The 15,945-nt window shown below is 46.9% G+C and overlaps 1 annotated feature.

Moving 5' to 3' along the window:
* Positions 12,657 to 13,157: an enhancer, noted in NCBI's record as "H3K4me1 hESC enhancer chr1:5217254-5217754 (GRCh37/hg19 assembly coordinates)". NCBI's record gives its function as "activates a minimal SCP1, AML or CMV promoter by ChIP-STARR-seq in naive H9 embryonic stem cells {active_cell/tissue: H9 hESC(naive)}" and the evidence as "EXISTENCE:reporter gene assay evidence [ECO:0000049][PMID:30033119]".

Genomic DNA, 15,945 nt, shown 5'->3' with positions numbered 1-15,945 from the left:
GAGCAGATTTCTCCCTCTTCAAAAAAAAAAAATGTAATTTACTTCCCAGCTAAAGCCCCTGGCTTATTCTTTGTTCCCTTGTTTTAATCTCCTGACTCAGATACTCCCTTTCTCCCAAATGCAACATTCAGGATCCTTTCCTTCCATTTTCTCACAAGCCAGTGGAGGGAAGAATAGACCTCTGAGACGCCATCTCCTTCAGGTAGCACTGCTGAGACAGACTGGCTCTAAGGTGACCCCCAGGACCCCCACCTGCTATTTATTGATCACTCCCTATGCAATCTCCCTGCTTTAGTGTGGATGAAACCTGGGACTTGCTCTTAACTAACAGAATGCCACAGCTGTAACAGAATGAGCATAATTGCTTATACCTGATCATGTTATATAATATTGAATGCCTTGCCAGGTGCCTCACGCCCCTGCTGGCTCGGAGGAAGCACGTGACCATGTTGAGAGAAATTTCCTGTCAACAGTCAGAAAGAAACTGAGGCCCTCAGTCAGGCAGCCTGCAGAGAACAGAATTCCAACAACAATCACAGGAGCTTAGAGGCAGATCCTTCCCTAGTCCAGCATCAGATGAGAACTCAGCCCTCCCTTGACACTGGAACTACAGCCTTGCAGAGGGCCTAGCTAAGAGTCTGTATTCCTGGATGACAGAAGCCATGAGATCATAGATGTGTACTGTTTGAAGCCATTGAGTTTGTGATCTTATTGATATGAAGGAATAGGTAATTAATCCATCTGCAATTCATATGAGCTTCCCTTTGGTGTTTTCACTTACATGGTTTTACTTAAACTTCTCAGCCAATTCTGTCTTTTGACTTTACAGCCCTTTGACCTCAGCACTCCAGTCTCACTTGAGAGAAGACTTCTGCTACTACTCTCGTACATGCTCAGGGCCCAAGATGGTTTGAGTTCAGGTTGGGGGCTTAAATCAAGTTATCTGCTTAGGACGGTATGAGAGGTCCCCTGAATTGATTGGGTGGTTGGTGCCCAGAAAAGCCTAAACAATATGGGGCCCAAGTTCCTTCTATTCATTGTGGGGTTCCAGCTGTCCAATCCTGAACTTGGATGCTGCCATTGAAGATGAGGCATTCAACGTACTCCGGGGTCTGAGTGCTGGAATCCTGGAAAGTAGTTAGCTGATGAATAAAGCATGTTCCTTTGTTATATGGTTCAAAAAGCTTTCTCAATCATGGGATTATTTGGTCACAGGACTAGGCAAATTTTCAACCAGCTTTCAAATACAAAGTCAGGAGTGAAAGTCACGTTGCTGACACTGTCACCTGCCAAGTGCTAGATTAAGTGTTTTGTGCACATTTAATTTAGCCTGAGATAGACTAAGAAAAGCAATGCAGGCATTTATGTGCCATCATACAGGCAGAAAAGGCAAGTGCTCACCAATGTTGCCATTAGTATGAGAGGCTGGTCACTGTCCTGGTGGTTTTACAGGACTTATATCATTTAAATCTAACAAGGACATGAGGTAGGATCAACTGCTTTATTATTATTATATATTTTTTAAGAGAATGAAACAGGGGCTTAGAAGTTGAGTCATTTGCCTGAGTTCATTGGAATTGGCATTCAAACCCAGGCTGGCTTCTAAGTCCCATATTCTTAAACATCTCACTATGCTAACTTTTTAGCATGTGTTAGGCTAGAAATCACAGTCAAATCAGTATGACTCCAAGTTGTAGATTTTTTTTTTTTTTTTTGGGATGGAGTTTCGCTCTTGTTGCCCAGGCCTGGAGACTGCAATGGTGTAATCTTGGCTCACCGCATCTTCTGCCTCCTGGGTTCAAGTTGTTCTCCTGCCTCAGACTCCTGATTAGCTGGGATTACAGTCATGTGCCACTGTGCCTGGCTAATTTTGTACTTTTAGTAGAAACAGGGTTTCTCCATGTTGGTCAGGCTAGTCTCGAACTTCCAACCTCAGGTGATCTGCCCGCCTTGGCCTCCCAAAGTGTTGGGATTACAGGCATGAGCCATCATACCCTGCTCAAATTCTAGATATTTTACCCTAAAGTATGCTGCTTCCAACTGGAGAAGCCAAGAAAAAAGCAATGTACCAGGATGCCCTTGAAGCCAGTATTTGCCCCCCAGCTGGAATTTCCTTTAGTCACTTTTATGTGTATATAACTTGGGGAATTTCCATCATTTCCCCCTTTTTGTGGTTGTATTCATTCTTAAAATCAAGAGGTGGTATAGAATCAGTGATACATAAGCTATAAACTCCCTTGGTTCCATGACTTACTATCTGACCAGTTCTTTCAAGCTGGTACCAATGGTCACCTCATTGGTTATGAAGCTTCAACCCATGTTGCTAGTTGTAGTACATTGGACAGAAGGCCGGAGGGAGACCACTCATCATTCTGAATGCCATGAAGCGCTGTCAGCTACATGGAAATTAACTACTGGATCAAATGATGGAAAGTCACGTCTTTTGCCTTAGGATTTCTCTTGAGGGAGGGCGATTTGTCATTTATGGGTCTGGCTGAGTTATATTGTTTCCTATTAAGATAAGTCTAAATGAATCTTTAATGACAGAACACTGTATCTGTACAGATTTAGAAGCTGCAAATTAAACTGGCCATCTCCATCTGGAACATCAGTTTCCTTTCCAGAGCTATCTATTACCTGCAGAGCGAGTGAGCTGATGAGGGTCCCTGCAGATGTGCCGGCACAGCTGGAGGAGCAGCGCCCCTGAATGTTAATTGTGCGGGTGCTGTATGTCTGAGGGAGGTTCCTGGGACCCCCGGGAAGACATGACCTCGACGTCAGGGTTTCAGGTATTCCTCTGCAGCACCCAGGTCATCTAGACCAAGATGCCATCAACTCTGGCCTGGATGCTGACCTTGACCTTCTAATGGACATCCTTAATTCTCACTCTTGCCTTCTCCTTCTATTGCTTCAGAGCAGCCAGGACATGCTTTTCAATGGTGTGTATCATCCCATTTGTTTAAAATCTGCTTAGACATCCTACGATTCTCAGAACAAAGGCCATGTTCTTGGACATGGCCTCCAAAGAAGTCTTGCTTTTGATGACCCCACACACCTTTCTTCTTGAGGCCCTTTTGGCTACCCTTAGGGCTTCTAGGACCACACTGTCCTTGCTACTGGGGTTGCAGGAGGACCATGAACCCTGTCCTCCCTGTTTGAAACACTCTTTCCTTCTGCCTACCACTCTCATCTCCCCTCCCTCGGACATCCGCTCTCTGTCCCTCTGCCTCTGCAGATACATCTCTTCGCCGGGACACCACCCTTGACATCCTTGTGAAAGGAAACTATCTTGGGCCCCCAATATCACTAAGCTAAACGGAAAAGTCAAGCTGGGAACTGCTTAGGGCAAACCTGCTTCCCATTCTGTTCAAAGTCATCCCTCTGCTAGCTGAGATAGATGCAGATCTGATTGCCTCTTTTGGAAAGGCTAATCAGAAACTCAAAAGAATGCAACCGTGTGTCTCTCACCTACCTGTGACCTGGAAGCCCCCTCCCCACTTTGAGTTGTCCTGCCTTTCCAGACCAAACCAATGTTCATTTTGCATATGTTGATGGATGCCTCATGTCTCCTTAAAATGTATAAAACCAAGCTGTGCTCTGACCAGCCTGGGCACAGGTCGTCAGGACCTCGTGAGATTATGTCATGGGCACGTGTCCTCGACCTCAGCAAAATAAGCTTTCTAAATTAACCAAGACCTGTCTCAAATTTTCAGGGTTCACATTCTGAACAGGTGAGGTCCCTGCCTCTCATGATCACAAGCACTGTGTTCTTTTTGAACTAGCACTTACCCCAGTGTGGATTATGTGTGTGGTTCCTATTCAGTCATGGGGTCTCTTCCATGTAAGATCCATGGGTGCTGTCACTGGATCTGTTCTGTGTGCATCTGCAGCCCTGGCCCCAGCACAGCGCCCGGCCCTCAGCAAGCCTGGGGAAAAATCCTGTCACAGAACACCAGTGCAGGAAAAGCTACAGTGTCTTCTAGCAAGATAAATATTAATTTGCATGTATTTTTTCAGCTTTCTTTAATCACTCTTCTTTCGTAGATGTGTATACTTAAATTTGAACAAAAGCAAAACAAAACCAAAACAAGCCTGCAAACACCAAGCTGAAGATAAAAAGAAGAATATTATGTGGCTGAAGGAGCTACAGATGTGGATCCTGGCATCGTGATCGACCAGCTGTGTGTCCTTGGGCAAGCCAATTCACACTCTGGTCCTTATTTCCTCATAAGTTAACAACAATTACAGTGCCTTCTCTGCCTACCCACAGGGGTGTTTTTCGGACCACATGAGAAGCTGCGCAGTTGCTCTGAAAGTACCAAGAGCTCTGCAGCTGTGCGGCGGAATCAGTACATTCATTAATAATACACCATCCTGTTCTTTGTTCATGGCTCGCTGATGCTAGACCTGAATACAATGTCCACGTTGTTCAGGAAATCAGGAAGTGGTGTACCATGTACCTCTAACACTTCATGTAATCGCAGGTTGGTAGCAAAGATCTGGCTGAACAATTGGATTTCAGGATGACAGTAAATAGAATGTGTATTACACTCTGCCAGATGTAACATGGCACTTAGCTTTGGAACGTGGGAGGAGAAAGTGCTCATAGAATTACATTTCCTGAACAAGGATGGCACTAGAATTGCAGGAAGGATTCATGAATCCTGGTTTCATTTAAGATTTTAATCTATGGAGGTGACCGAGTGATGACACAGAGTCCAATGCCATTGAAAGAAGATGTATTACTTACAAGTCCTGGGAGAAGAGGACATATCACAACACCTAGGCCATGTGGGGAAGCACCAGAGCTGGTCAGAAACAAGGGGAAAGCCTAGGCCAGGGCTTTTACTGGGGCCTTCTCAGGAAAGGTGAGACAGGGCACAGTCTGGGATTGGCTAGTTCGAGTAATTCCAGCAGGCTTTGGGCTGTAGAGGAGTGATCTCTAGTTGCCTCATACGTGGCCCTGGGATAATTTAGGGCGAGGGAAATATTGGCTTGGGGTGTGAGAGTTAGGCAAAGTGGGTGGCTGGGGTATAGGCTTGAGATTTGTTGGTTTAATAGAGTTAGGGTTAGGGTTAGGGTTACGGTTTTTTATGTCTCTAAGAATTGGCTAGCTTTGGTAGGGGTAGTCTTTTCCAGCCAGCAAAGTTTTTAAGATGTCAAAACATCATAAGATACAGAAAAACAACAACAACCTGTGATTAATGTAGACTTTTGTTGACAAAACTAAGACAAAGGAGAAGGAGGTGGCCACCATCCTCTTTCTGAAAACTTCTCACCCCTTGTACCACACTCTGGGAGGGCTCCAATGTTTCTTTCAGTGGTGGAATTCATGGGGGGTGGAGACAGGTGGAGGGAGACCCCTGGATGCAGGTGGTTGTTGCATCCTTTACCTGCCAGAGCCAAACACACAGGGTGGTGTCCTCGACATGCTGCTGAATCTCCTGCAGTCACCGTTCCATTCCAGCTTGGACTTACGATTCTCCCTATCCCCCGCCAGCCCCGAGTGGTCTTGCCTCTGCCCATAGCTTCACCACCCCTGCTCCTGTGGAGTAGTCAGATTGTCTAAGTTCTCTTTCCAGTGAGGGGTGATCCTGGGGCATCTGGCAGCCCTGAACCCACCCTGGGACACATGGCAGGTGGATGGATGGTTGTGTCCCCAGCACATTCATGGTCAAGGACACCCCTCCAAAGCAGTATGAGGAAATAGAGCATTCCAGCCATTTGCAGATGCCACACATTTTACAAGCATGCACAACTTGGGGATATGTTTTTGATAACATAGGCTGCAGCTTCTGTGCAGTTCCTGGGGACCTTCCTCTAACTTCAACCTGCTATGTCCCTATCTATAAAGACAGAGCAGGGACCATGCAGCCTGTTGACAACCAGATCTCCTCTCCTCCCTGCCTCTCGGAAGCCTCCAGCCCTGACATGTGTGGGGGCAGGGCGTCTGACTCATTCTGCCCATCAGAGTGTGAGTAGAAGTGAGGTCAGACACTGCCAGGCTCAATTTGTAAAATGTGTGATTCTCTCTCTCCTCGTGGTCCACTGGCTGGATGCGAAGGATCTCAAGGATGACTCTGAGGTCCCAGCAGAAACACGAGATGAAATGAGAGGAGAGTGATTTCCTGACTTACCACTTGAAAGGTTGTCTTGAACACACAATAGTTTCCAGGATGTGAGCAAAATGCAAAGCCCCTGTGGTAAACAGCCACTGAGACCTGGGGGCTGTTTGTCAAAGCAGCTAGCGTCAGTCACTCTAACTAATACAAAAGCATGAGTGCCAATGAGTGAGTGTAATGTGAGAGCTGGTGCTAACCTTGAATCTGCTCTAACTTAAAAACAAAAACAAAAAACAAAAAACAACTTTTCCTGTGTTAGTTTGCTGAGAATAATGGCTTCCAGCTTCATCCATGGGGGCAGGTGGAGGGGGAGCATCAGGATAAATACTGAATGCATGTGGGGCTTAATACCTCGGTGATGGATTAACAGGTGTAACAAACCATCGACACATGTTTACCTATGCAACAAACCTGCACATCCTACACATGTATCCTTAAAATAAAATTAAAGATTAAAAAAACTTTATTGATGCCTAATTTACATTCAGCAACATGCACCCATTTTTATGGGTCCAGTTGGGTGATTCCGATGGGTGCATTTACTTACCTGTGTATCCACCCACAAAATCAGGATATAGAGCATGTCCGTCATCCCAAAATGTTCTCTTGTAAAAAAAAAAAAAGTTCCCTTGTGCAAATCAAACTTCACAGAGTGAATCATTCACCACATTTTATTTTTAAATTTCCATTAATAACGAGCTACTTTTATGGAATTGCCCAACTTGTCATACATGGTGGCTGAGCTGTGTTTAGCAGAAGTGGGAACTCGGGGAACGTGACCAGAAGTGCCCCGTCCATGGCCTCATGAACAGCAGGGGGCCTGCCTGAGGGAGGAATGAACAGATCTCTGCTTCTGTAGTGGTCTCATGTGGTCATGCTAAGGGATGACTGAGGGAGAATGGAAAAAAAAAAGTCACTGGGAAACAGAGGCAGTATGAGTGGAACGGAGCCGGCACTCCAGCACAGGGCGGGGTGTCAAGACATGCAGCTGACAGCAGCGAGATGAGGGTTAAGGGGGCACGGGGGACAGGAATGAATTTCAGCTTCTTGTTGAGGTGGTTGGAGGCTGGAGGGGCAGCAAAGTTCCAGGCTCACTATCGTCCATGCGGTGACTTTGGGACATCCAGGTGGATGAACCACTCTGACTGGTAATTCACCCTGGAACACCCTAGAAATAGGATGTTCTGGCTGGGCATGGTGGCTCATGCCTGTAATCCCAGCACTTTGGGAGGCCGAGGAGGGTGGATCACCTGAGGTCAGGAGTTCGAGACCAGCCTGACTAACATGGTGAAATCCTGTCTCTACTAAAAATACAAAATTAGCCAGGCGTGGTGGCAGGCTCCTGTAATCTCAGCTACTCTGGAGGCTGAGGCAGGAGAATCGCTTGAACCTGGGAGGCAGAGGTTGCGGTGAGCCAAGATTGCACCGTTGCTCTCCAGCCTGGACAACAGAGTGAGACTCCATCTTAAAAAAAAAAAAAAAGAAAAAAAGTAGGGTATTCTGACTCAGGAGGGGGTTAAGTGGGAGACACAGACTTAGGGGTTGCCTGGGTGTTTGTGTTGATGTAAAATCTAAGACAAAATCAGAACCTGCAGAGTGAAAGAAGGGCGGAGGTTGGGGTCCTGAGAACGTCAGCTCTTTAGAGGAAGAAAACTCCACCAAGGAATCTGAGAAGAGATGGTCCAGGGTTGGGAGAACCTGAAGACCTCATCTTGCTGGATGCCTTCTGCTGAGCCTCCCACTCATCCACTCTGCTGTGTGCCTGGGGAGGTTGCCCCGCATTTATGGTTCTTGCCTTTCCCGCTGGGTTTGGCCAACAGAGCACACTTGCAGGAAACAGGGGAAAGAGAGAGGCTGGGGAATTTATCCCACCGGCTCCCTCCTGGCGCTCCTGGAGGCTGGCAGAGACCCCTGAATGAGAATCTCAGCTCCCCGCTAGGCACCTTCTCCATTCTTCTGTCTGTATCTCCGGGTTCTAGAAACTGCTCTCTCCTCTGTCTTTTCAGGGCCAGACGCTGGCTGCTGAATCCCAGTAATTCTCCAAACACTGCCCATTTCTCTGTCAATAGTCTCTTTCCCAAGTCCTTTTCAAATACGCAATTTGAATGTACCATCTGTTTTCCAGTCAGATAACGATACAACTACCTGTCATTGGTTTAAAAAGTAAGTTATGTTTTATATATTCCAAAGAGTTTCCCCAGGAATCCAATCTCGATTTGTGCCCAAGGTGCAGAGGGCACCAACAGAGAGCTCTTTGCTGTCTGAAAGCCCCCCTGCTCCTCCAGCAAATGGCCCCTATCATGCGGTACAGCATTTCCCAGGATGAAGTCACCTCCAAATGCGATGTCTCCCCAGCCGGAAGGGTAGGGTGAAGCTGTCCCCGTGGATATGCCTGCAGGTAACAAGCACGTGTCAGAGGATGGGAGGGACTCTGCTTCCTTCTCATATCAAACATCATAATTGTTTGATGTCCAATTATGTTATAGGGACTCTCCCTGCAAAAAGAAAAAAGTAGCTTTGTGAAACCTTCTCCAGGATACTCACCTTTCTCTGCCTCTTGCTAATGCAGAGCCTGGGCTTGGCTTCCCTCTTCCCCTGCAAGGGCAGGGCAGGGAAGGGAGTGTGGCTGGTGCTCCTCCTCCCTGCAGCCCCTCCCAGTGGCCAGCAGGACCGGCCTCATGTGCTCCCCCAGGGGATCTCCCAGGGAAGGGTGTCACCTGCCTGCAAACTGGTGGCGCTGACTTCAGCTGTGCTTTCTGTAAGTACCGACTTTGTTTTAATATTATATTATCTACCTTTATTTTTTCTTTAATTTAATGCAGCGGTTGCATTCCTGTACTAACATCCATTGATTAGGGTAACAAACAAATGTGAAGACACTTCCAGAAGCACACTGACTCATCCTTCCATTCATTGTGTTTCTGTTGGGACGAGTAGAGGGAGAAAAAGACACACACACACACACACACACATCCACACAAAATCCCAAAAATGATAGGCAATGAAAAGCAAGAGTCATATTTTGAGTTACTCTTTAAATAGCTATTGCCAAAAAAAAAAAAAAAAAAATCAAATGATCCCAAGAAGAGAAATGCCTGCCAAATGCCAGAGGGCAAGATAATAATCTGGCCAATGGACTTGGCCAAAGGGATTCAGAGTCAGAGAGGCAGGCGGAATGATATGATGACGGTAAATTCATGTTAAATCACTACTAATGGATTCAGATTGTGTTCGAGAAGACTCTCATTTTAGGTTAAATTCAAAAGCCCATTTAAAAAATATTCGTTGATACCATAAACTCAGAACTGTGGTTCTCAAATTCAAAAAGCGTTCTCATACACTTCTGCAAATGTGTATATCATCCAGATTATATCCAGCGGTAGTCTTGCATGCCATTTTACCTCTTAATGTGACATGAGAGCAATGGGCAATTTCCACATCAAAATTCACAGGGCAGAGAAGTACCCACTCTCCTATGAAGAAGCACAAAAAGGGCATTAGTAAGTCAGGAGCATCACAAACATCACGAAATGCGCGGCATTGCAACACACCGAGGCATCGCCACGGTTTGCATAATCCCATCTGCCTGCCTCTTTCCTCTCCTCTCTGCGTCGTAGTTACGAGATTTACATTGACAACTGACGTTCTCCTAAAATTGTGTATGTTTGAACGGCCCGAGCCTGTACTCGGGACCCAGGATGATTTCACTGCAGTAGGATGTCTTGTGAGCACACCAGCTTCATCTACCTCTGAAAACCCATCCGGAGCAAGGGAAGCTTCTACCACATTAATTCAGTTCCTGCAGGGGAGGTCTTTTAGAGGGATGACTACTTTTGTGTACGCAGATAACATTCATCAGAGTTGATAAAATATCATCACCAATGATGGTCACAAGTGTGTGTTAGTATGTGTGTATGTGTATGTGTTAGTGTGTATGTGTATGTGTTAGTGTGTGCATGTGTTAGTATGTGTATGTGTTAGTGTGTGTATGTGTTAGTGTGTGTGTGTATGTGTTAGTATGTGTGTATGTGTTTGTGTGTATGTGTATGTGTTAGTATGAGTGCATGTGATGGTTAATATTGAGTGTCAACTTGACTGGATTGAAGGATGCAAAGTATTGTTTCTGGGTGTGTCTGTGAGGGTGTTGCCAAAGGAGATTAATATTCAAGTCAGTGGACTGGGGGAGGCTGACCTACACTCAGTCTGGGTGGGCACCATCTAATCAGCTGCCAGCATGGCTAGAATAAAGCAGGCAGAAGAAAGTGGGATGAGCAGACTTCCTGAGTCTTTTTTTTTTTTTTGAGATGGAGTCTCGCTCTGTTGCCCAGGCTGGAGTGCAGTGGCGCGATCTCGGCTCACTACAAGCTCCGCCTCCCGGGTTCACGCCATTCTCCTGCCTCAGCCTCCTGAGTAGCTGGGATTACAGGCACCCGCCACCACGCCCAGCTAATTTTTTTGTATTTTTAGTAGAGACGGGGTTTCACCGTGTTAGCCAGGATGGTCTCGATCTCCTGACCTCGTGATCTGCCCGCCTCAGCCTCCCAAAGTGCTGGGATTACAGGCGTGAGCCACTGCGCCCAGCCCCAACTTACTGAGTCTTTGAGACCCTTCATCTTTCTCCTGTGCTGGATGCTTCCTGCCCTCAAACACTGGACTTCAAGCAAGTTCCTCAGCTTCTGGACTCTAGAACTTACACCCGTGGTTTGTTAGGGGCTCTTGGGCCTTTGGCTACAGACTGAAGGCTGCACTGTCAGCTTCCCTGCTTTTGAGGTTTTGGGACTCAGACTGAGCCACCACTAGCTTCCTTGCTCCTCAATTTGCAGATTGCCTATTGTGGGACTTCACCTTGTAATTGTGTGAGTTAATTCTCCTTAATAAACTCCCCTTTCCATATACATCTATCCTATTAGTTCTGTCCCTCTAGAGAACCCTGACTAATATAGCGTACACCAGTGACTGTGTTTATAATTTAATATGTGTGTGTGTGTGTGTGTGTGTGTGTGTGTGTGTGTGTGTTTATGTGTGTATGTTATGGACTGAATGGCCATGTCCACCCTCCCAAATTCATATGTTGAAGACTTAACTCCTGATGTGATGGAGGTAGGCTTCTAGGAAGCCATTAGATTTAGATAAGGCCATGAGGGCAGGGCCTTTGTGATAGGATTAGTGTTCCTGTAAGAAGAGACTTGCTGGCTATGCTTTCTCTCCCTCTCTCTGCCACGTGTGGACATAGTGGGGAGGTGGCCATCTGTAAACCAGGAAGAGAACTCTCATTAGGAACTTACTCAATGTGCTGGCACCTTGACCTCATACTCCCCAGCCTTCAGAACTGTGAGAAATAAATTTCTGTTGTTTACATCACCCCAATCTGTGGTATTTTGTTGTGGAAGCCTGAGCTAAGACTATGTGTGTGTGCGTGCGTGTGTGTGTGTGTGTGTGTGTGTGTGTATGTATGCATTTTACTGTTAATCTGAAGAGCTGTTCCTTGCAATTGCTGGGTCTATGGAATAGTCACCTCACCACACACCTCACTGAACTAAAATCAGAAGGAGTTACCACTTATCCTCGTGGATTTCAGAACCCAGTGTCAGATTAGAGCATCCAAGTAGAGTCAGAGAGAGAAGCCTGCATTTGGGGAGCAAATACAGAGCCCCGTTCAGGGAGCTGGGGGGGATGCCCTATTTTTAGTTTATCTGAGGTCATTAGGGTGGGCCCTCATCCAAAATGACTGGGGTCCTTCTAAATAGGGTAAGTTAAGACACAGACACAGCCATGCACAGAGGGAAGACCATGTGGGGATCCAGAAGGAAGATAGCTGTCTGCAAGCCAAGGAGAGAGGTCTCAGAAGGATCCAAACCTGCCAACACCTTGAGCTTGGACTTCCAGCCTCCAGAACTGTGGGCAAATACATTTCTGTTGTTGAAGCCACTCAGTTTATGTCATCACAACACAAGCAAACTAATGCAAAGGCATGCTCAGGGGCAGTCACCCTGCTGGGCAGCAGGGCCCCCATGATGCACAAGACAATCCCTAGCATTAAGTGTCCAGGAGGGGAGTGGTGACGGAGGTAGAGGGGCCCAGAGAGAACAATGAGGAAGGGAACTTGGGGAGGCCAGCGTGACTTTACTTTCTGTGCCACTGCTTCCTGGTGGTCCTGGAGGATGGAAATTTGTAAAATGCACAGCCATGCTAAAGAACTGGCTCATCCAGGGGAGGAAAGTGGATGAAGGAATTCCAGAGAGCAGGAGGGACTGAAGGGCTCTGGCCCTACAAAGGGTCTCCATGAAACAGGAGGAGAGAGCCTCCTACCCTAGCACTCTCTCGCTCCTGCCTGACTCTAGCTGGGCATCTACAGCCTCCCTTTCCTCTCTAGATCCCTCCAGGCCACTGGCTGCCACCTGCTCTCATGTTTAGTTTGCCTGCCGTGAACACCTTCAGGCAACTTCCTGGATAACTGCCTGCCCGTGGTGAGTCCCTGAAGCCTTCAGCTGCAGTGGGTCCCACCTGCTTCCTGGCCACAGTCAACAGGACCAGCGGACAGCCTCTTGCAGCAGCTGAGGCAGGAATACCCCCTCCTGGGGGAATTTTGAATCAACAATGGGAGCCTTTGCTTCTGCGTGGCCGACCCGCCCTGTACCCCGCACCGCCTGAGTCTGGGAGGCACAGGAGACTCATAGCTCCTCTGAGATAAGGTAGGCAGCGGATGTGCCCTGGGAACAAAACAGGAGTGTGGTGGGTGGGGGTATTGGGGGTAGGGGACGGAGTGCTGATCTCTGAAGCTCCTCCCTGAAGCCCCCATGTGACTGCCCTGGCTTCTGGAAGACGCCCCTGTGGCTTTTTCATCAACATCTGCCCTGGTTCTTCAGTGCTCCTTGCTGTCACTCTTCCCGCTAGCTTTCACAGGCTTTGATTACTCACAGTCCTAAGTTCCAGTTAATTCTGGCCACACATCAACATTCTTTTATTTTTTTGTGTACAGAATAAAGGGGCAAATATGCCTTATTGCAGGACTGATTTCTGATTCCTTCACTGATGGAGATGCTTCCTGACCTGCCACCTAAGCCATCCCTGTAGTTCCGCGGCTCCTACCTCGACCTCCCCTCGTTCATCACAGAGCCCCACCTGGGTGGTTCAACCTGGTCCTGTGACTTGTTATTGGGGTGGCTGGAGTTCAGCTTGTAGTGAGAATTCAGCTGCTGGACTGACTGGAGGGGAAGCCATATGGTGCCAGCCACGCCGCATGCATCTATATGCTGAGCGAATTTGTCTTCCAACACAAACATGGCTCCCTCGAGATTTCATTCCTCCAGAGAGAGACTGCCAGCCAGTCAGCCCCAACCACTCCACTCCCGTTTCTAAGCAGAACAGGTTTCTTTAGCTTCAGCCCATTCAAACTATTTATTCTGCTCAAAAAGCTGTTGTCCCCTCTGGGCCTCTGGAGCAGATTGTTTCCCACTTCATCTGCACACACCTAAATTGATGCTTGCAGCCCTCCCAGCCTTCCTCCTCGTCCCTGCTCCCTCTTTCCCTCCCTCCTTCTCTCCTCACTCTCTCTTTGTTTCTTTCCTACATATCTAACATAATATAAAACAGAAACGAATATGCAAAAGGCACTTTCTGTTTTAATCAGGTTTGGGGGAAAATATGTCTAACATGCCACTTTCCCCAGTTGATAAAATGTTTGACATTTACCAGGGCTGCAGAGAATCTTGTCTAACAACTCCATTTTTAAATGCCACTCCACATCCTCCATCTCTGAGTTTTAAAAAGCACTTGTCCTACAAAGTGTTATCATTACTAAAAATATTAAGCAGAATCTTCATTCATTTGGAGTTGCCGTGTAATTGTGCTGGAATACAAATCATCACTTCAGAAGGCAGGCAAGTTAGATCTCTCCTCCTGGCATGAGGTAGAGGGAGGAAGAAATGGATTACGGACAGAGGACCTGGTCCCAAGGGTGACAGTGTTTTTGTGCATGGGGTTCTTGTGCAACTTCTGGGCATTGCCTGGAAGCTTGTAGCAGATAATATGTGCGACCAGGCCCCAGTAGGCAGTGGGAAGAGCTTGGGTCATCAGGGGTTGGCATCTCTTCTTGGCCACACCAGGGCCACCTGCTGGTGGGACCTCTTGCTACATCTGTGCAGTGATGGCCACTCTTCACTTTTTCACCTTGAGGACTCAACATTTTTCCTCAGCTGTTTGAAATAGGCCTAGGGAGTGTCAGCTAAAGGCTGAGTAAACTCAACCTGAACAATTTGAATGTAGAAAGAAGCCCTTGTGGTGTAGCCATTGTTCACATGCCCTCTAATTTTATCCCCAGTGCTCGGCTCGGTGCTACTGCTTGAATGATGGTGGCCCCTCCAAAATTCGTGTTGAAACATATCTTCAGTGCAACTGTATTAAGAGGTGAGGCCTTTGGAAGGTGATTACGTCATGAAGGCTCCACCCTCATGAATGGGATTAGCACCCTTATAACAGGGATCAAGGTTGAAGGGAGTTCCCTTCTGCCCTTCCATTCCTTCCTCTGGAGGATGCAGCAACCAGGCACCGTCATGGAAGTAGAGAGAAACCCTCACCAGAAACTGATGCTGCTAGCACATTGATCTTGGACTTCCCAGCCTCCAGAACCACGAGAAATAAATGTCTAGTATTTCTAAACTACTGAGTCTTGGGTAATTTTTTCTAGCAGCAGGAACAGACTAAGACACTGAATATAATTAGCTATTGTTCTTAACACACTCCCAAAACTCAAGAACATAAACAATTCTTCTCCCCGAATGCTTGCTGTTGCCTCCCCTAAAGCTACTTTTGTTTGAATGGGCTCTGCTTTCTGGAAATCCTGACATCAACTAGGTGGTATTAAGGAAAGAGTCAAACTAGAATTGAACTAAGGTTTTAATAACTCCAGAGCCTTGCCACCTCTTTTGTTTAAGGACACCTCTTTTGTTTAAGGGGTCCCTTTTTCAATCTTTCCAATAAAGAAGGATTGGAAGAGCTAATGCATTGGAGGACCCCCATGTATTTCCAATAAAGAAGGATTGGAGGAGCTAACTGCATTAAAAGGACTAGGGTTGGATTACTCTGTCCTACAGGTAATAGGCAGCCACTGTTTTTTTTTCAGTAAGGAGAGGCTTCAAAGTGGTATTCACAGAAAAGGAATTGATATAGTGACACTAGATGGAGAGTAAAATAATGCTATTTCAGGGTGTATTAATCTGTTCTCACACTGCTAAAAAGAACTGCCTGAGATTGGGTAATTTATAAAGAAACGAGGTGGCCAGGCACCATGGCTCATGTCTGTAATCCCAGCACTTTGGGAGGCTGAAGCGGGTGGATCGCGAGATCAGGAGATGGAGACCATCCTGGCTAACACAGTGAAACCCGGTCTCTACTAAAAATACAAAAAATTAGCTGGGCGTGGTGGCGGGTGCCTGTAGTCCTAGGTACTCAGGAGGCTGAGGCAGAAGAATGGTGTGAACCTGGGAGGTGGAACTTGCAGTGAGCCGAGATCGTGCCACTGCACTCCAGCCTGGGTGACAGAGCGAGACTCTCTCTCAAAAAAAAAAGAAAAGAGGTTTAATTAACTCACAGTTCTGCATGGCTGGAGAGGCCTCAGGAAACTTACAGTCATGGCAGAAGGGGGAGCAAACACGTCCTATTTCACATGGCAGGAGGAGAGAGAAATGAAAAGCAAAGGGGGGAAGCCCCTTATAAAACCATCGAATCTCATGAGAACTCACTCACTATCATGAGAACAGCATAGAGGAACCATCCCCTTAAGTTAATTATCTCCACCTGGTCCCACCCTTGACACATGGGGATC

The sequence above is a fragment of the Homo sapiens genome, chromosome 1 (genome assembly GCF_000001405.40).
Source record: "Homo sapiens chromosome 1, GRCh38.p14 Primary Assembly".
NCBI classification, from domain to species: Eukaryota; Metazoa; Chordata; class Mammalia; order Primates; family Hominidae; genus Homo; species Homo sapiens.
Note: the sequence above shows the minus strand (reverse complement) of the source record. Positions and strands in the feature narration are given on the sequence as shown.